The sequence below is a fragment of the Homo sapiens genome, chromosome 4 (genome assembly GCF_000001405.40).
Source record: "Homo sapiens chromosome 4, GRCh38.p14 Primary Assembly".
Lineage (NCBI taxonomy): Eukaryota > Metazoa > Chordata > Mammalia > Primates > Hominidae > Homo > Homo sapiens.
The window spans coordinates 112,346,195-112,367,174 of record NC_000004.12 but is presented as its reverse complement, the minus strand read 5'-3'; the positions used below and the strand labels follow the sequence as shown (position 1 = coordinate 112,367,174).

Genomic DNA, 20,980 nt, shown 5'->3' with positions numbered 1-20,980 from the left:
TGGTGTTTGGCTACATGAATAAGTTCTTTAGTGGTGATTTCTGAGATTTAGGTGAACCCCATCACCCGAACACTGTACACTGTACCCAATGTGTAGTCTTTTATTCCTCACCCACCTTCCACCCTTTCCCCTGAGTCCTCAAAGTCCACTGTAGCATTCTTATGCCTTTGTGTGTTCATAGCTTAGCATCCACTTATGAGTGAGAACATACGACGTTTGGTTTTCCATTCCTGAGTTACTTCTCTTAGAATAATGGTCTTTAATTCCATCCAGGTTGCTGCAAGTGCCATTATTTCATTTCTTTTTATGGCTGAGTAGTAGTCCATGGTGTATATATACCACAATTTCTTTACCCACTCATTGATTGATGGGCATTTGGACTGTTTCCATATTTTTGCATTTGTGAATTGTGCTGCTATAAACATGCATGTGCAAGTATCTTTTTCATATAATGACTTCTTTTCCTCTGGGTAGATACCCAGGAGTGGGATTGCTGGATCAAATGGTAGTTCTACTTTTAGTTCTTTAAGGGATCTACACACAATTTTCCATAGTTGTACTAGTTTACATTCCCACCAGCAGTGTAAAATTATTCCCTTTTCACCACATCCATGCCAACATCTATTATTTTTTGATTTTTTGATTATGTCCATTCTTGCAGGAGTAAGGTGGTATCACATAATGGCTAAAATTTGCATTTTCCTGATCATTAATGATGTTAAGCATTTTTTTTCCATATGTTTGTTGGCCATTTGTATATCTTTTTTTGAAAACTGTCTATTCATGTCCTTAGCCCACTTTTTGATGGAATTGTTTGTTTTTTTTTCTTGGTGATTTGTTTATTTGTAGATTCTGGAAATTAGTCCCTTGTTGGATGTACAGATTGAGAAGATTTTCAAGGTTGTCTGTTTACTCTGCTGATTGTTACTTTTGCTGTGCAGAAGCTTTTTAGTTTAATTAATCTCATTTATTTATCTTTGTTTTTGTTGCATTTGATTTTCTTGGGTTCTTGGTCAAGAAGTCTTTGCCTGAGCCAATGTCTAGTAAGATTTTTCCAATGTTATCTTCTATAATTTTTATGGTTTTAGGTCTTAGATTTAAGTCTTTAATCCATCTTGAGTTGATTTTTGTATATATAGACAGATGAGGATCCAGTTCTATTCTTCTACATATGGCTTGCCAATTATCCCAGCACCATTTGTTGAATAGGGTGTCCTTTCCCCACTATATGTTTTTGTTTACTTTGTCGAAGATCAGTTAACTGTAAGTATTTGGCTTTATTTCTGGGTTCTCTATTCTGTTCCATTGGTCTATGTGCCTATTTTTATACCAGTACCATGCTGTTTTGGTGACTATGGCCTTATAGTATAGTTTGAAATCAGGTAATGTGATGCCTCCAGATTCGTTCTTTTTGCTTAGTCTTGCTTTGACTATGCGGTCTCTTTTTTGGTTCCATATGAATTTTAGGATTGTTTTTTCTAGTTCTGTGAAGAATGATGGCAGTATTTTGATGGGAATTGCATTGAATTTATAGACTGCTTTTGGCAGTATGGTCATTTTCACAATACTGATTCTACCAGTCCATGAGCACAGGATGTTTCCATTTGTTTGTGCTGTCTGTGATTTCTTTCAGCAGTGTTTTGTAGTTTTCTTTGCAGATGTCTTTCACCTCCTTGGTTAGGTATATTCCTAAGTATTGTATTTCTTTTGCATCTATTGTAAAAGGGCTTGAGTTCTCAATTTGAATGTCAGCTTGGTCACTATTGGTATATAGTAGGGCTACTGATTTGTGTACATTAATTTTGTACCCTGAAACTGCTGAATTTATTTACCAGTTCTAGAAGCTTTTTGGATGAGTCTTTAGGGTTTTCTATAATAGGTATACAATCATGTCATCAACAGACAGTGACAGTTTGACTTCCTCATTACCAACTTGGATGCCCTTTATTTCTTTCTCTTGGCTGACTGCTCTGGCTAGGACTTCCAGCACTATGTTGAATAGAACTGGTGAAAGTGGGCGTCTTTGTCTTGTTCCAGCTCTCGGGGAATGCTTTCAACTTTTCCACATTCAGTATGATGTTGACTGTCAGTTTGTCATAGACAGCTTTTATTACCTTAAGGTATGGCCTTTCTATACTGATTTTGCTGAGGGTTTCAATCATAAAGTAATACTGGATTTTGTTAAATGCTTTTACTGCATCTATTGAGATGATCATGTGATTTTTGTTTTTAGTTCTGTTTATGTGGTGTATCACATTTATTGACTTGTGTATGTTAAACCATCCCTGCATCCCTGGTATGAAACCCACCTGATCATGGTGGATTATCTTTTTGGTATGCTGTTGGGTTCTGTTAGCTAGTATTTTGTTGAGGATTTTTGCATCTATGTTCATCAGGGAAATTGGTCTGTAGTTTTCTTTTTTTGTGATATCTTTTCCTGGTTTTGGTATTAGGGCAATAGTGGGTTCATAGCATGATTTAGGGAAGATTCCCTCTTTCTCTGTCTTTTGGAATAGTGTTAATAGGACTGGTACCAATTCTTCTTTGCATGTCTGATAGAATTCAGCTGTGAACCCATCTGGTCTTGGACTTTTATTTTTTGGGGTAATTACCATTTCAATCTCACTGCTTGTTATTGGTCTTTTCAGAGTTTCTATTTCTTCCTGGTTTAATCTAGGAGGGTTGTATATTTCTAGGAAATTATCCATCTCCTCTAGGTTTTCTAGTTTATGCATGTAAAGGTATTCATAGTAGCCTTGAATGATCTTTTGTATTTCTGTGGTATCAGTTGTAGTATCTTCCATTTCTTTTCTAATTGAGCTTATTTGGATCTTCTCTCTTCTTTTATTGGTTAACTCACTAATGGTCTAACGGTTTTATTTATTTTCTCAAAGAACCAGCTTTTTGTTTTATTTATTTTTTGTATATAAATATATATATTTAATTTAATTCAGTTCTGCTCTGATCTTTGTTATTTCTTTTCTAATGCTGGGTTTGTGTTTGCTTTGTTCTAGTTTCTCTAGTTCCTTGAGGCGTGACCTTAGATTGCCTATTTGTGCTCTTTCAGGCTTTTTAGTGTAGACATTTAATGCTATGAACTTTCCTCTTAGCACCGCCTTTTCCGTATCCCAGAGGTTTTGATAGGTTGTGTCACTATTATCATTCAGTTCAAAGAATTTTAAAATTTCTATCTTGATTTTACTGTTGACCCAACAATCGATCAGGAGCAGGTTATTTCATTTCCATGTATTTGCATGGTCTTGATGGTTCCTTTTGGAGTTGATTTCCAATTTTATTCCACTGCAGCCTGAGAGAGTACTGGATATAATTTTGATTTTCTTAAATTTGTTGAGACTTGTTTTGTGGCCTATCATATGGCCTATCTTGGAGAAAGTTCCATGCACTGATGAATAGAATGTATATTCTGTGGTTGTTCAGTAGAACAATAACAATGTTCTGTAAATATCTGTGAAGTCCATTTGTTGTATAGTTTAAATCCATTGTTGCCTTGTTGACTTTCTCTCTTGATGACCTGTCTAGTGCTGTCGGTGGAGTACTGAAGTCCCTCACTATTATTGTGTTGCTGTCTATCTCATTTCTTAGGTCTAGTAGTAGTTGTTTGATAAATTTGGGAGCTCCAGTGTTAGATGCATATTTATTTAGGATTGTGATATTTTCCTGTTGGACTAGTCCTTTTATCATTATCCACTATTCCTTTTTCTTTTTTAACTGCTGTTGCTTTAAAGTTTGTTTTGTCTAATACATGAATAGCTATTCCTGCTCACTTTTGGTGTCCATTTGCATGCAATATCTTTTCCACCCCTTTACCTTAAGTTTATGTGAGTCCTTATGTGGTTGGTGAGTTATTATCCATTCTGCTATTCTGTATCTTTTAAGTGGAGCATTTAGGCCGTTTACATCCAACATTAGTATTGAGATGTGAGGTACTATTCTATTCATCATGCTATTTGTTACCTGAATACCTTGGTGTTTTTCCATTATGTTACGGTTTTATAGGTCCTGTGAGATTTAATCTTTAAGGAAATCCTATTTTGATGTATTTCAATGATTTGTTTCAAGATTTAGAGCTCCTTTTAGCAGTTCTTGCAGTGCTGGCTTGGTAGTGGCAAATTCTCTCAGCATTTGTTTGTCTGAAAAAGACTGTATCTTTCCTTCATTTATGAAGCTTAATTTTGCTGGATACAAAATTTTTGGCTGACAACTGTTTTGTTTAAGGAGGCTAAAGATAGGACTCCAATCCCTTCTAGCATGTAGGGTTTCTGCTGAGAAATCTGCTGTTAATCTGATAAGTTTTCCTTAACAGATTACCTGATGCTTTTGCCTCACAGCTCTTAAGATTCTTTCCTTCGTCTTGGCTTTAGATAACCTGATGACTATGTGCCTAGGTGATGATCTTTTCGCAATAAATTTCCCAGGTGTTCTTTGAGCTTCCTGTATGTGAATATCTAGATCTCTAGCAAGGACAGGGAACTTTTTCTTGATTATTCCCTTAAATGTGTTTTCCAAACTTTTAGATTTCTCTTCTTCCTTGAGAATACCAATTATTTGTAGGTTTAGTCCTTTAACATGATCCCAGACTTCTTGGAGTCTCTGTTCATTTTTTTTTAATTCTTTTTTCTTTGTCTGTCAGATTGGTTTAATTTGAAAGCCTTGTGTTTGAGCTCTGAAGCTGTTTCTTCTACTAGTTCAATTCTGTTGCTGAGACTTTGCAGTGCATTTTACATTTCTCTAAGTGTGTCCTTGATTTCCAGAAGTTGTGGTTGTTTTTTATTTATGCTATTTCACTGGAGATTTTTCCATTAATATCTTGTATCATTTTTTTGATTTCCTTAAGCTGGACTTCACCTTTCTCTGGTGGCTCCTTGATTGGCTTAATAATCGACCTTCTGAATTCTTTTTCTGGCAATTCAGAGATTTTGTCTTGGTTTGGATCCATTGCTGGTGAGCTAGTGTGATCTTTTGGGGGTGATAAAAAACCTTGTTTTGTCATATTACCAGAATTGTTTGTCTGGTTCCTTCTCATTTGGTTAGACTATGTCAGAGGGAGGATCTAGGACTCAGATCTGCTGTTCAGGTTCTTTTGTCCCATAGGTGCTCCCTTGATGTGAGGCTCTCCCCCTTCCCCTAGGAATGGGGCTTCCTGAGAGCCAGACTGCAGTGATTGTTATTGCTCTTCTTGATTTAGCCACCCAGCAGAGCTACTGGGCTCCAGGTTGGTACTGGGGAGTGTCTGCACGGAGTCCTGTGATGTGATCCATCTTCAGGCTTCTCAGCCATGGATACCAGCACCTACTCCAGTGGAGGTAGCAGGGGAATGAAGTGGACTCAGTGAGGGTCCTTGCTTGTGTTTTTGTTTAGTGCACCGGTTTTGTGTTCGTTGGCCTCCAGCCAGGAGGTGGCACTTTCAAGAGTGCATCAACTGTGGTTGTATAGGGAGGATACAAGCTTGCCCTAGAGTCAGGCAGTGGGTGGAGCCATACAGCTCTCAAGAGAGTATGTCCTTTGTCTTCCCTACCAGGGAAGGTAGTGAAAGGTCATCAGATGGGGGCAGGGTTAGGCGTGTCTAAGCTCAGACTCTCCTTGGCCCTGGCTTGCTGCAGCTGCTGTGGGGGATGGGGGTCTTGTTCCCAGGCCAATGAAGTTATGCTCCCAGGGGGATTAAGTCTGTCTCTGCTGCATTACACACACAGGTTGCCAGAGAAGTGGGGGAATGCCAGCAGCCACAGGCCTCACCCGGCTTCCTGGCAGCCTACAGCCTTAAATGCCAGTCTCACTTCCACTGTGCCCCTCCCCCCAACAGCACCAGGTTTATTTCCAGGCAGCCAGTGAGCAGGGCTGAGAACTTGTCACAGGTTACAAGCCTCCCAACTGAGAAAGCAAGCTGACTCACAGTTCCTCGGCTGTCCCACAGAGCCTGCAGCAGCAATCCACCTCCTTCAAAGGGTCTGTGGATTGTCTCGGCTTTCCTGGTATGTTCTGTGGTGGTTCTTGGAGTAAAAGTTCACAAATGTGGGTCTCTGCATGCTGTTCTGTCCATCTGAGTGAGAGCTGCAAGTTAGTCCTGCCTCCTATCCACCATTTTCTGCTTATCTCTTTTTTCAAATATTTTCAATCCATGGTTGGTTAAGTCTGTGGATGTGCAATTTGAGAATAGGAAGGGCCAACAGTAACCAAAATATTCAGGATCTCTAAGCAGGATAAATAACAAATAAATATCCATGTAGAAAAATATCATAATGAAGCCATGGAACACCAAAGACATAGAAGATCTTTAAAGCAGCTAGAGAGAAAAGACAAATTACCTTCAAAGAAACAACAAAGGACTTACATACAGTTGGTTACCTAAAAGCAAAAATGTAAACAAGAAGACAGCAAAAGGGTATCTTTCATATGCTGGGGGAGAAAACCTGCAAAATAAAAGTATTTTAAAAGAAACACCAATAGATCCTCACTAAACAAATTTCTAAAGTATGTACTTTAGAGAGAAGAAAGATCACTATCAAGGGCTTGAGCGTCAAGCAGAACTAATCAGCAAAAAACTTGTAGATTATTGGCAAAATCTAAGCAATCATTAATTGTATTTAATATAAAGCTACAACAATAACAATGTATTGAAGAGATTTCTGCACTCCCATATTCATTGCAGCATTATTCACAATAGCCAAGATATGGAACCAACCTAAATTTCCATACACACACAAAAAAACATTGTACTTAATATAAAGCTACAGCAACAACAATGCATAGAAGAGATTTCTGCACTTCCATATTCATGGCCGCATTATTCACAATAGCCACGATATGGAACCAGCCTAAATTTCCATCAAGGATAAATGGACAAAGAAAATGTCATATATATATACACACAATGGAATATTACTCAGCCTTAAAATAGAAGGAAATCCTGTCATCTGCAACAACATGGATGATCCTGGAGGATGTTATGTTAAATGAAATAAGACAGATACAGAAAGACAAATAACATATGATCTCACATATTTGTGAAATCTAAAAATGTTGAATTCATAGAAACATAGAGCAGTATGGGGGTTACTAGAAGATGCAGGGATGGGGTCAGGGCCTGGGGAGAAGTTGGTCAAAGGATACAAAATTTCAGTTAGAGAGGAGCAATGAACTCAAGAGGTCTGTTGTATCTGGTGACTATAGTTAATAACTATAGTTATTGAAAATAATTATATTGTATGCTTGCAAATTGCTAAGAGTAGATTTTAAGTGTTCTCTGGCCTATTCTGTTGGGTGAGTTCTTGGCCCACCAGAGCTGGACAGGCAGGTGATCAAGCCACGCTGGGCATGCTGAGGGCCTCCATGGGCACCCACTGGGGCTCTGGCCAGAAGACCTGCATGATGCTCTGCTTCCTGGAGGCAGTGTGCAGGTTGGGCACGTCCTAGAGGCCCCACTCAGATACTGCATGCCCGTGGGAAAGTCCAGGGGACTGGCTTCGCCCTGCAGCCGCACCATCCTCCCCCAAGGCCCCTGCTGGCCTCTGTCTGAGGAATGATGAGATCTTGCTCTGGGTCTTCCCAGGCTTCTTGCACCATGAGCGGTCTGGTTGGGAAGCCCCGTGGGTGAGCATAGGAGGCGTGGCAAGGCTCTCCTCTTGGGGTCCTGGCGGCTCCATGCCTGGGTTGGGCTGGCTGGCCAGGTCTGTGCATGTCGGCAAGAAGTGCTGCTTGTGGTATGGATGCACGAACATGCTGAACCTCTGCAGCAGGGGGATGTTCTCAGGCTTCGCAGTGGTCAGGGCAGCCAGTAGGGCCAGCACCTTGTCCAGGTCATCATCCTGCTTGTAGGCTGTCAGCACTGCCAAGAGCTGGCTACAGCCTGTAGACTCCAGGGCCCTGCAGGCATCTTCCAGGTAGGCGCTCATGGCATGCTGGCCCTGCTTCCCTGCTCTGGGCGCTCTGGACCCCCACTGTGGGTGGCTGCCAGGGTCTCCTGTGGGGGGTGGCCTGGGGGACAGGTGGGGCCTGCCCTGGTTGAGGTGCTCTCTGGGATCCAGCTGCTGGGCCACAGCCTTGGACAGGGTCAGCTTGGGATCCGGCGCTGTCCTTCCAGTGGGGTCCAGGGCTGGCTGTGTCCGCTGCCTTTGGGGAATGCTGTGCTCTGGCCGATAGCCACAGCCTTGTCCTGTTAGCTGTATACAGACCTCCTCAAACTGCTGCTTGTGGTGGGGCTGCACAAACTGGTAGAAGCCCTGGAGCTGGCTGTGCTTCTTGGGGTTTTCAGCAAAGAGGAGGCCAAGACAGGTCGCCAGGGCAGCAAAGTCATCGGAACCCTTGTGGTCCTGCAGGGCCTGGGTGAAGGTGGCAAAGTTGGCTTGGCTCAGCTCCTACTTCATGGCCACCATGAAGAGCTTGGCCGTGTTCATCTGTGCACCAGCCACGGGCTCCTCCGAGTGGCTGACCAGCTGGATCTTCTTCCTCCTTCCTTGCGGCTCCTCTGCCAGCCTCTTAGATGGGAGAGACAGGGTGGAGCACCTGTGGGCCTGCTCCTCGCCAGGGCCCCCCAGCCCACTGTTCGCTGTGCTCCAGGGCGGCCAGCAGCCCCCAGGGCCTCTGCCAGGCAGGGTCTGGCTCCTGCTCATACTCCATATACAGGCTGCCCTCCGGGTCCCCAGCAGCTGGTGACCCTGAGGGCCTCTGCTTCAGGCTAAGGACGTGCAGGTCGAGACTCTTAGCTTTCCTGGTGGAGAGGAGGGGGCCAGTTGACTTAGTCACCCTGACAGCATCTTCTGCCTCACGCAAACTGGGTGCTACAGCCCAGGGGGCCGGTGCTGGCATAGTTCGCTCAGCAACACGGAAGAACTGGGCTACGTCTTGGATGACATGGCCGAAGTTGTACACCCTGACGTAGGGACGCACCCAGGAGGGCAGCTGGGCTCTGGCGTCTGCAAAGGCAACCCTGTGGTCACAGAGGAAGACAGCCCTGTTGTCCTGGCAGTGCCAGATCACTTGCCCGATGGCCTGGTTCACAGCCCTGGACGCCTGCCCAGAGAGGAACTGGCCCCCAGCCCCAACCTGGCCCTTCATCTCGCATCTTAAGGACAACCAGGGGGTCCATGCGTGGGGGCTATGGAGGCCCGTGATGATCACACTACTGCCATTAGTGTCTGAGAAGTCCAGCCCCTCGCTAGTGTTTCCCCGGCATACCGCCAGGAAGGTGGCGCCGGTAGACCCCGGGGGAGGCAATCCTTGCTTAGTAAGCACCCATGGTCTCAGAGAAGCTGCCTTTGCTCCTGGGCTCCACAAACAGCGGCCTCAGCGCCTCCATCTTCCTAGCCAAGTAGTGGGCCTGCCAGAACTCCAGGCTCTTTTCCATGATGGGATATGAAGGGAAGAAGATCAGGAGCCCATAGGGCACCATGCGGGCGATGTTGCCCAGAGCCTTCCCCAAAGAGGACAAGCACTCCTTGGAAAACCGTCTGTCAAACGCGGAGCTCAACTGGGCTCCGTCGGGGCCTCTGGGGATGATCCCCACCCAGATCTGGTGCTTGTCGATGATGTGTGGGTTCTCCAGGCAGACTGGGAAAGGGATCTGCAACTCCAGGGCAAAGGAGGACCCGGGGGCCAGTGTGCCACTGGTGAGGATGATAAAGCAGATGCCCTGACAGACCAGCTTGCGCATGCTGTGGCCAGGACTGAAGCACCAGTAGCTCAGCACCTTCCCTCGCTTTCTGCTGCAGTGGTGCTCCAGGCATCAGATGGCTGAACCACCCTCTGGTGACTGGCATCAGGATGGATGTGCACTTTATAGGCCCCCAGCCCTGCCAGGGAACCAGGGCCATTCTCGGAGGGGTCTACACTGAACACAATCTGGACAATATCCGCCAGCTTCTGCAGTCCGGCTGTGTTGGCGAACACCCCAGCACGTCCTGCCAGATGCTGGATGATCTGGTCCAGTGAGTCCAGGATGCAGCCCTTGGTCTGAAACGTGCTCTGGGCTTCAGCAAACAGCTCAAAGATGTAGCTCCCTGGCTTGGTGACACCGCTGTCATCTCCAGGCAGCTCAACAGCATCGATGGCCCCTTCCAGGCAGAGCAGGATCATCTTCAGCTTTGCAATGTCTTCCAGCTCCATGTTCAGCCCTGAGCTGGTGGGGTCCGCGCTGAACTCCGGTTGGGGCTGGCCCTGCTGTGCCACCTTGATCTGCTCCTCCAGCACCTGGTCTATGACGTCCAGTCCCGAACTCGGGTCATGGGGGGTCAGGTCAAAGGATGCCAATCCTTCACACGTCTTCTTCACCTTGTGAGTTTCATCAAAGATCACGACCGTCCCCTTAAGGTCAATGTTGTGTGCTCTGCGGCTCTTGGCATCCAACAACTAACTGTATGGGATGAAGACGATGTCGGCTTGCTGCTTCAGGTTCCGGGACAGGTAATAAGGGCATACTCCGTGCTTGCTTCCCCTCTTGACCAAGTCCTCGATGTCCAGGATGGGGCTGGCCAGCTCCTGCTCCAGGCTTTTCTCTTCTACATTGTTGTAGAAATGACAGAGCGACTTGCCATCTTCTTGCGGCACAAGTGGATCTTCATGTGGTTACTCTCCTGCTTCTTCACCTCAGGGTGGATGCACAGCTGCTCCCGGGAGCCCAGCACACACACCTCAGGCCGGTAGGAGGTGTTCTGAATTTTGTTGATGACCTGTGTGAGTTGCGAGTGGGTCCTAAAGGCGTAAATGATCTTTGGGATGTCCGTGTAGCAAGCTAAGGGGTCTCCATTATCAGCAGCAGCATTGCCCCAGGATGACAAAGGCCTGATCTGAGAGAAGCTCCCCTTGCACCCTATCGGCAAAATTGCAGGCAAAGATGGTGTCTTGGAGGTGTTCTCGCCAGGCCAGGGTGGTGCACAGGAGGCACAGCGTCTTGCCTGTGCCCGCGGGGCTCTCCAGGATGCCATTCATCTGCAGACATTCCAGGACCTTGGTCATGTACTCCTGTTGGCATTTGTAGGGCTGGGAAGGGAAGTCTACGGTCACACCATTCAGGACTATCTTGGGCATATCAGCCTGTTCTCAGGAGGGCACAGAGGGTGGCTGAGGGGCAGGCTATTCGGGTCTGTGAGAAAAAAACACTCCAAACATCTCAGGCTCTCAGCCGCTCTTGGTAAGTGATGCGAGCATGCACACTGGGACACAACGCTGTTCTCTTCTAGAATCCCTATGGCACAGGCTCCTCTCTTGTCTCCCCGGCCAGCCTTCCAGAACCGGGGGACCTCAGGACCTCAACCGACTCCAGTCGAGCGCTGCCACCGGGTCCCCCTTTGTCAGGCAGTTCAGACTTCGCGGACTGAGGCGCGCAGTTGCGGTTGAGCGCGGTGCACTTCCGCCCCCACTTCCAGTCTGCTGCTTTGTGCTCCAGGAGGAAACTGTTACCCCACGGATGGGGTCCGCCTGCTCTTTGGGCCCTAGAGGTCTATGCAGCCCTTTGAGCGTTCTGTGTCCAGCTTCCCTGCCCAGTGAACCTCACTTCCATCGCCCACAGGCAGAAATCTGGGGTCCCGCCCGTCTCCTCCTTTGATGTCATCCCCGACCAGGGTCTCCGTTCCATTGCCACCTCCCTAGGCCCAGCCACCATCATTTCCTGGATAGCTGCATGGGCCTCCTCCCCAGAGGCATCCTTCTACTGCCCGAGTGTGAGCCGACCGCTTTCCTGAAAATTTGAGAACGGCTGCCCCTTGCCCAGAACCTGGATCCTGATAGCCCTGACCTCCTCCTTCTTCCTCTCCCGCTCGGTCCAGCTTCTGCTCGTGTCGCTGTCTCCCCCACTGGCCCGGGTGGGCCTCCCTGAGTCCCCAGCATCCAGCACTGGTTGACAGCAAGGCAGACTTGAAACATATAATTTTACTAACAAAATTTTACAAATCGTTCAACAACCCAATAAATCTAACCTTAGGCAAAATATCTTAAATTTGCAACAAATGCTTAGAAAATGAAATTTAATAAAAATACACCATTTACAATGGTACAAAATATGTAAGGTATAAAAATAATATACATGAAGTATCTGAGAATAATTCTAACATGTGCACAAGACTTTCAGAGAAAAAACTGTAACATTTACCTCATGGGAAGACATGAGGAGATACTCTGTTTGTGGTCTGGAAAACTCAACATTCAAATTAGTCTGTAACTTTAATGCAACTCCAGTCAAAATCTCAACAGTTCTGTTTGTGTCTGTGTGTCTTTGTGTGTAACCTAAAAAGGTGATTTTAAAATTTGTAGGGAAAAACAGTTCAAGAATAATAAAGACATTCCTGATGAAAAATAATGAGGAGAGCACAGTGTTATACCAAATGTCAATAATTAATAAATTAGTATATAATTAAATGATGCAAAAATTATTGTCACTTAGAAAAATTGATCTTACAGTCCAGGCATGGTGACTCATGCCTGTAATCCCAGCACTTTGGGAGGCGGAAGTGGGTGGATCACTTGAGGCCAGGAGTTCGAGACCAGCCTGGACAACATGGTGAAACCCCATCTCTACTAAAAACACAAAAATTAGGTGGGTATGGTGGCTCATGCTTGTAATCCTAGCTACTTGGGAGGCTGAGGCTCGAGATTCACTTGAACCTGGGAGGCGGAGGCTGCAGTGAGCCAAGATTATGCCATTACACTCCAGCCCCTGGCTGATAGAGTAAGACTGTGTCTGAAAACAAAAAACAAAAACAAAAACAAAACAAAAAACAGTAAAAGAAAAATTGACCTTACATATATACGGGAACTTGATTTATTATAGAGCTCAGTATATGGCATTGAGCTAACTGGTTATTTATTTTAAATCAATGTTAGTTAAAAACTTAAATGTGAAAGACAAAACTACACAGTGTGTAAAAGAGAATATCTAACGGAGAATACCTTTCATTAGGAAATAAATTTTTAATTGCTTGAAAAAAAACAAGCAAATCGTAAGGGAAAATATTGTAATTAAGGATAAACTTCTGATTAGTAAAATGACACCATAAAAAAAGTGGAAAGAAAAATCACAAACTGGGAGACAGTATTTGTAGCTTTGGTAGCTGACAAAAGATTTCTACCCTGAATATATAAAGAATTTCTGTAAATCAATGAGAAAAAGACCAACCACATAGTAGGAAAAGAATAGACAAAAGACTTGAACAGACACTTCACAGGAGAAGAAATGTGAATGGCTAATAAACATATGAAAAGTGTCTGACCTCATTAGTAATCAGGAAATACAAGTTCAAACCACAATGGGAAACCCTGCACAACTTATTTATTTATTTATTTATTTATTTATTTATTTGAGACAGAGTCTCACTCTGTAGCTCAGGTTGGAGTGCAGTGGTGCAATCTCGGCTCACTGAAACCTTCACCTCCTAGGTTCAAGCAATTCTCCTGCTTCAGCTTCCCAAGTAGCTGGGATTACAGGCCTGCACTGCCACACCTGGCTAAGTTTTTGTGTTTTTAGTAGAGACAGGGTTTTGCCATGTTGGCTGGGCTGGTCTTGAACTCCTGACCTTAGGTGATCCACCTGCCTCGGCCTCCCAAAGTGCTGAGATTACAGGTGTAAGCTACCATGCCCGGCCCCTTTGCAACTTCTTGATTGAAAAAAAAGTAAATGGATAATAACAATCATCAAGAACAGTCAGTGTTAGTTACTCCAAGTCACCATTATTGGAACCTACAGTTTGGCATTATCCAGTAAAATCAAAGATGCACACTCACTGACCCAGTGTCCACTCTTAAGTATATACTCTAATTTAGAGAAATTCTTGTATCTGTGTCTAGGGGCTATGTATAAGAATCTTTATAGTGACACAGTTTGTAATAGCAAACAAACAAAAGGAAACAAACCATATGTCCTTCATGGGGAGAGTGGATTAGAAAAGTGAAGTATGGCCAGGTTCGGTGATCACACCTGTAATCCCAGCACTTTGGGAGGCTGAGGCAGGCAGATCACTTGAGCCCAGGAGTTCAAGATCAGCCTGAATAACATGGAAAAATTCCATCTTTACAAAAGATACAAAAATTAACCAGGTGTGGTGGCACACACCTGTGGTCCCAGCTACTCAGGAGGCTGAGGTAGGAGGATGTCTTGAGCCTGGGAGGCAGAGGTTGCAATGAGCTGAGATTGCACCACTGCAGTCCAGTTCAGCCTGGGTGACAGAATGAGACCCTATCTCAAAAAAAAAAAAAAAAAGGAAAGGAAAGGAAAGGAAGAAGAAAAAGAGAGAAGACAGAAAGAGAGAGAAAGAAAGGAAGAAAGAAAGAGAAAGAAAGGAAGGAAGGAAGGAAATTGAAGTACATTCATACATTGGGAAAAAATAAACAAATGAATAACTTATGGTTACATATAACAACATGGGTAAATCTTAGAAATATAAAAAGCAGTCACAGAGGAATCCATGGGTAAAATTTACAAACATTATAACCAAACAATATATTGTTACAGGATACAAATATACAGTTGGCCTTTTGTATCTGTGCATTTCACATTTATGAATTCAACCACCTGTGGATCAAAATATTTAGAAAAACAAAAATAATACAACTAAAAAACCAATTCAATATAACAACTATTTACATAGCATTTACATTGTATTAGGTATTACAAGTAACCTAGAGATTATTTAAAGTTATGGGTAAGAATATGTGTAGGTTATATACAAATATTATGCCATTTTCTATAATATCAGAGACTTGAGCATCCAAGAATTTTGGTATCCTGGAGATCCTGGAACCAATCTCCCATGGATACCAAAGGATGACTGTATATAGTAAAATTACAAAGAAAAGTAATGATTAACTAAAACTCAGAATTGTGGATTTTTTGAGGGGAGCAGGAAGAAGATGTAAAGGAAGCACATGGAGGAGACTTCAAAGCAAGTGGTATGTTTTTCTATTTAAATCTATGGCTTGGTCTTTGGGTATTCATCATGTTCCATGTATATCACATCTATTTTATAAATTCTCGATAGTTGTTCCGCATTTGATGAAAATATTAAAAAGAATAAAATGAAAACCCAAGCCTGGAAGTATTGGGTTGGTAATGAATATCATTTACTGCTTTTAGGGTTGGAACCAGGGACTCCATTGAGAGGTGGTAAAAGATACATCCTTTCAGAGCAGGGAGAGGCACTTGCACAGGTAATTCTAGAGGGAATAGGATTTGGAATTGCTGGATGGACAAGTGAGTAAAAGAATTCTAGTTGGAGAATGACATGAACAAAGACTGTGAGGAGGAGATCCTCATTTTATGTTGGGGATCCATGGTAAACATAGTCTATTGAGATAATTGATTATATATAAGCAGTTTGAACTATTAGTTTGAGAAACACTAGATTGCCAGGAAATTCAACTTATCTTTTCATTCTATTTACATAGAAAATGAAATAAAAGACTGGGCACAGCGGCTCACATCTGTAATCCCAACAGTTTGGGAGGTTGAGGCGGGCAGATCACCTGAGGTCAGAAGTTCGAGACCAGCCTGGCCAACATGGCAAATCCCCATCTCTACTAAAAACACAAAAATTAGCTGGGCATGGTGGCGCGTGCTTGTAATCTCAGTTACTCGGGAGGCTGAAGCATTAGAATTGCTTGGACCCGGGAGGCAGAGGCTGCAGTGAGCCGAGATCGTGCCACTGCACTCCAGCCTGGGTGACAGAGCAAGACTCTATAAAAAAAAAATGAAAAAAAAGAAGTGTCTGATTTTTTTTTTAAAGCAAAGTATATTTTAGGAAATTCTGTAAGTGAAAATGAAGGTCTTTGCTATGTCACTTTCATATCAACACTTACAGTCTGAGGACAACACCTTATTAAAATGGGAAATTAGATGCCAAAGCTGTCCCTTCCCTCTATCTCTCTTGCCTTTGTGTCCCACCCTCCTCTGTCCAGTTCACTGCAGCTGCACGTGTTTACCAAACTTGACTTCTCAAGGAAGTGCAATGAGAGTGTTCCGGGTCATGAATGGGTTACCTCCCGGCCTGAAGAAGAAAAAATAGGAAAAAGAAAAGGCCATCACTGCAGAGGCTGCCGCTCATACTCTCCAGCTACAGTTACCCACTCCATCAGCCATGGTGACATCTGACGAACTATTAGCCTGGCCCACATAGCTGGAAGAGCGACATCTCAGGTCAAGGTGAGTCAAGCCTGCCATCTGGTCCTGGCTCCAGGCTCCTGCACTGATGACTTCAAAATGGTACTTCCAGGAAAGTTTTCTTGGCATTTCTGCACCCCAAATGAGAGAACGCTCACATAGACTCACCCCATATGTCCCCAAATCCAGAACTATCATGATACTAGGAGGCAGTCATAAAGTAGGGGAAAATATTTCATAAACTTTAAAGAGCCTTCAACTTGAGATGTATTCTCTGAGAGGCAGATAGTGTCCACCTATATTCTAGGTAAAGAATTTGAGCCATGGAGGTGAAGAGGCAGGAGTAAGCTGAATGACTTCCAAAAGCTATGACAGAGAAGATCAGGATAAGAGTGCAGAGTCCTGACTTGTCCTGAAAACGCATGATCACTTTGCTTTCCACTAAATGGTACCAGAGGTCTGGAGAAAAACTCAGCAAGAGTAATTTTGGTGGAAGAGAAATAGTTTATCTTCAGAAGAAGAAATGGAGTAGTCTTGACCATTTAGTCTGTGCTACAGTGGGTGAGGCAACGGAAATGCGCTGTTTATACCAACGGAGTCAGAATGTCAAAACTGCTGCATCTCTCCAGGGATGGAGTAGGAGGAGGGAGGGTCCCGATGTTGGTGTGATACGTACATGAAAACAGCATGAAGCATATTGTAATATAAAATTGTCAGGGCTGTGAAGCATTGCATTATTTTGATGAGGCCAGGAAATGTGCGGATTAAGGATCGTTTTGCAACAGAGTATTTTAAAATCTGTATTTATAATTTTCACAGCCAGGAAAGTTAATTTATTTTGCATAGAACTATGTAGCTTTGAAGTTAGAGATAGCCCACAAAGGAGCAATCTGTCTTGGAGTAATGGGATGTGGGGGCTCTGAAATAACAGGAGCAGAAAAATGAAGATGTTGAAATGAAGAATTGTGGTTTCACTGTCTTGATTATCAATAAACAGCCAAGTTAAGCACATGCACTTTGCAGTGAGGCTTCCTAGATTTAAATTTCTGCTACTTACTAGCTGAGTAGCTTTAGGCAAATCATGTCTCAGTTTTCTCATAGGTCTGGGCTACTAGGACACTGTAATAGTGAATTTCTTCTGGAGCCTAAAATACCATGCTTAGATACTTGAGAATTTCTGCTCACAAAAAAAGCTTAAGAGTTTTTTTAAAAAATTAAAATGTAGGCCGGGCGTGGTGGCTCGTGCCTGTAATCCCAGCACTTTGGGAGGCCGAGGCAGGTGGATCACAAGGTCAGGAAATCAAGACCATCCTGGCTAACACGGTGAAACCTGTCTCTACTAAAAATACAAACTATTAGCCAGGCGTGGTGGTACACGCCTGTAGTCCCAGCTACTCGGGAGACTGAGGCAGGAGAATCGCTTGAACCTGGGAGACGGAAGTTGCAGTGAGCCAAGATTGCACCACTGCACTCTAGCCTGGGTGACAGGACAAAACTCTGTCTCAAAAATAAAGCGGGGGGGGGCAGGGGTTGGGGCGGTAATAATAGGATCAATCTCACAGTTTTATAAGCATCAACTGAATTAACATATGTAAAACACAAAAAAAATTGCCTAGCACATAGTGAGTGCTTCATAGGTATCAATTATTGCTATCAATAAAGTTTTCAAGAAATTAAATTTTATTTTTTAAGAGGTTATCCAATCTCTCCTAGTTTACTCTGGATTTGGTTTCCTTGTTGGCTTCATTACCATTTAGGTTTTTGAGAAATAAAATTGCTTGACTATGCAAAGTCTTCAGGTTCCTGATATTTTTCCAGTATAAAGTCACGTAATAATAAGTTGATGCAAAAGTAATTGCAGTTTTTGCCACTGGGATTATCTCCTAGATAATTATCTGGATCCATATTCAATTAATGAATAGAAATTCTGTTCAATAATTGAAATGTTATGACCACTTATTAGACTTTTTCAGGGAAAAAGATGTGAATTTCATTTGCTTAAAACAAGACAAAAAAAAAACAAAAACTGCATCCAGCCAACTTGGTTTAATCAGCTGTTTGCCTCCAGGCACTCAGCCTGCCTCTGTCTGAGGTGTCAGAGAAGTGCGCCCTGAAGTGGCTGACAGGAAAGAAGAGCCTCCATCGGATTACAGATCAGACAGAAACACCCACAGCCCCTCATCTTCTCCTTTGCTCCGAGACACACACAAAGCTCTTTATTTATTTTATACTTAAAATGTCAAAGGCGCCTAGGGGTGGGCCTCTGGCCTGGGGATTGGCAGACCACACTCCTGGGCTGACATAATGAAAGTCCACCATGTGGCTGTGTGATTCACACAGCGTGTTCATGTCACCAGCAGCCGATGGGTCTTGGCAGGGAGCCTCCTACTGGCTTGGAAACAAATAGGACTTGCATGTCCTCAAGTGGCAGGGAGATGGTAACGGAGAACCGCCTGGATGTCCGCACACTTTGCAGGCGCAAAGACAGCAAACACCCACATGCCAAGCTATTCACAGAGTGACAACTAAGTACAGGCCAGCAGCAAGGGACTCTGTAAGACAAGCAGTCGACAGTAGGATTCTACTAGTCCTGCCTGATCTTAAGGAGAACAAACTCAAAATGTGTCTGCAAAGAAAAGATAGCACATTTCATTTTTTGTTGACTTACCTCTCGACACCGCGCCTAAGCACCTCATGGCTTGTGCAAAGCACAGAGGCCTTGGTGTAGCTAGCCTTCAGAGACCAACAGACTTGTTTAGAAAACCAGGCCTTCTTCTATTCACTCTATAACTTGCAGTTTTAATGCCCTTAAACTTAAAACTGAAATTCTGAATTTGAGAATCAAGAACTAGATTTCACCAGGCTGATTTGGAAAATGAGCACAGTTTTAGACTTTCAGGATTCTACACTTTCTGTAAGAGTTATGTGACTGAGTGAAATGCGGCTAAGTTGCAGAGCAAATGTGCTCAGAACGCCAATCACCTGGCTTAGGGGATGATTATTGTTTTTGAACCACTCTGCTTACTTTCTTTGGTACCTCTTCAAGCGGAAGAACTCTCATTTTCTCCTTTCTCTAATAAGGAGGATGGCGATCTGAGACTTAGTGTTAATTCTATTCTTTGCTTTTAGCTAATGAAGGAATATTTGCCAGTATAGAGCTAACAGTGTGATACAGGAAATTTTTAAAAAATAAGTAAATCGAAATAGGCAAGTGAAACATATTAGCTTTTACACAGTCTATTACTGGCAAAAAATAATTGCTTGCTTCCTGCTCTTTCCTTAAAGCTTGGCTTTCATAGCTAACTTAGAAGTTTAATGCATCAAATAAGATGCACTGTATCTGTAAACTTCTCAATGGTATTTAAGCATTTACTGAATATCTGTTGTATACATATTTGGTATTTGGAAGGTTACCAGAGAAACAGAAGAGATATTTTCAACCCACAGAAACAACTTCATTCGAGAAGTAAACATAATTATATAATTCAACTTGTAAAAAATTCCAAAGCAACATTCTGACCCACAGGATGAGTTTACTTAAATTTAGGAAAGTTGGAGAATTCATTCCATCCTTCCTACTATTATACTACTTAGAAGAAAAGGTATTTATTATTAGATCTTGACAAAGAAAATTGAATCGGGTTGATGATATGACTTTTATAAGATTACAGTGAGGAAGGTAGCAAGGAATATGGTTCCCATTTGAAGATTAAGTCAAAAGTTCAGTGATTTGTCAAAGTTCAAATAGCAACTCATTAAGATTACGTGCCAGAAGTTAGACATAAGCTTTTAAGGCCACTGTGGTTTTATGTGAGACCACTCTGTGTCCTGCTTTTTGTGGGGAAGAAACTGATCATCATACTGACAAGCAGAAATCATTAGTTTAACAGAATGTTGATTCTATGACAGAAAAGTATATGTAGTTTATTTAAAGACACGACTCTTAGGCTTGATTCTCAAATTTTAAAACACTGAAACAGCTACTGCTATATTTTTCCTGGGGAAAAAGTATCCTAATTTGACCTTATTCGAGCTACAATATAAGTCCAGAGGACCAATGAAGGGGAAGAAAAGAACTGATGAGGTCTAAGTGGTGATTGCATTTATAGATTAATCCTGACAGGAAGCAAATACATCTCCTCCCAGGAGGCCCCAGTGTAGTCAACTGAGAAGTGGGGTCGTTATTTATGAGCACAGTGGACTCTTCCCATTACAATAAACATTTTAATTACTTTAAGTGAAAGATTATTTTTGCTGGTAGGAAGCTTAAAAAGTAAATACTGTACTGTTGTTTGTTTTTCGATGTTGGCTATGTGTGTAATCTTCTATTCTTAAAACTGTTTCACACAGCAATTTGTCTTACCCTGAAATCATAATGGGAAAATAGTATATACTTAAGAAAGCATTTCACATACCAAAACCTGCAATGCCCCACATGGGGAAAGAGTAGGCCAAATGACTGGTTGGCATCATGGACCCAGAGCAATTTCATTTCCATCTGTTTTATATGATGGCCATCCACATACAATTTCATTGACACCAATAAGTTTGGAAAACACTTATCCAAATGAATCAATGAAGATGGAGTAGGAACATAATGATGGTGTGATTTTTATTTTTCAACAAGGTGACACATTCTCATTCTAAAAGTTACTACCACATATCACAAAACGTGTCAACCATATAAATCCACAATGAATGTCGTTAAGAGTCCTCATGAAACTGTTGTGTTATGGAAGCAAAACAACTAATTTGTAATATGAGACTCAAATAATGAATTTCCTTTCTTAAAACTCAAAGTCCCATGATTTCTGACTGATAATATATGATATAATAAATGATATTAAAGAATTAGTGTTAATTTTTAAGGTGGGATAAAAG

The 20,980-nt window shown here is 42.9% G+C and overlaps 1 protein-coding gene and 1 pseudogene across 3 annotated transcripts in view, besides 1 other annotated feature; both read right to left on the bottom strand.

The window, feature by feature from the left end:
* The window catches only part of ALPK1 (alpha kinase 1), a 145,253-nt gene that overhangs the window by 75,447 nt on the left and 48,826 nt on the right, over positions 1-20,980 (bottom strand). The window lies entirely within an intron of this gene.
* Positions 5,408-5,702: a silencer, noted in NCBI's record as "tiled region #420; K562 Repressive non-DNase unmatched - State 24:Quies". NCBI's record gives its function as "represses a minimal TATA promoter and a strong SV40 promoter by Sharpr-MPRA in K562 cells {active_cell/tissue: K562}" and the evidence as "EXISTENCE:reporter gene assay evidence [ECO:0000049][PMID:27701403]".
* On the bottom strand, positions 7,262-11,364 carry RTEL1P1 (regulator of telomere elongation helicase 1 pseudogene 1; annotated as a pseudogene).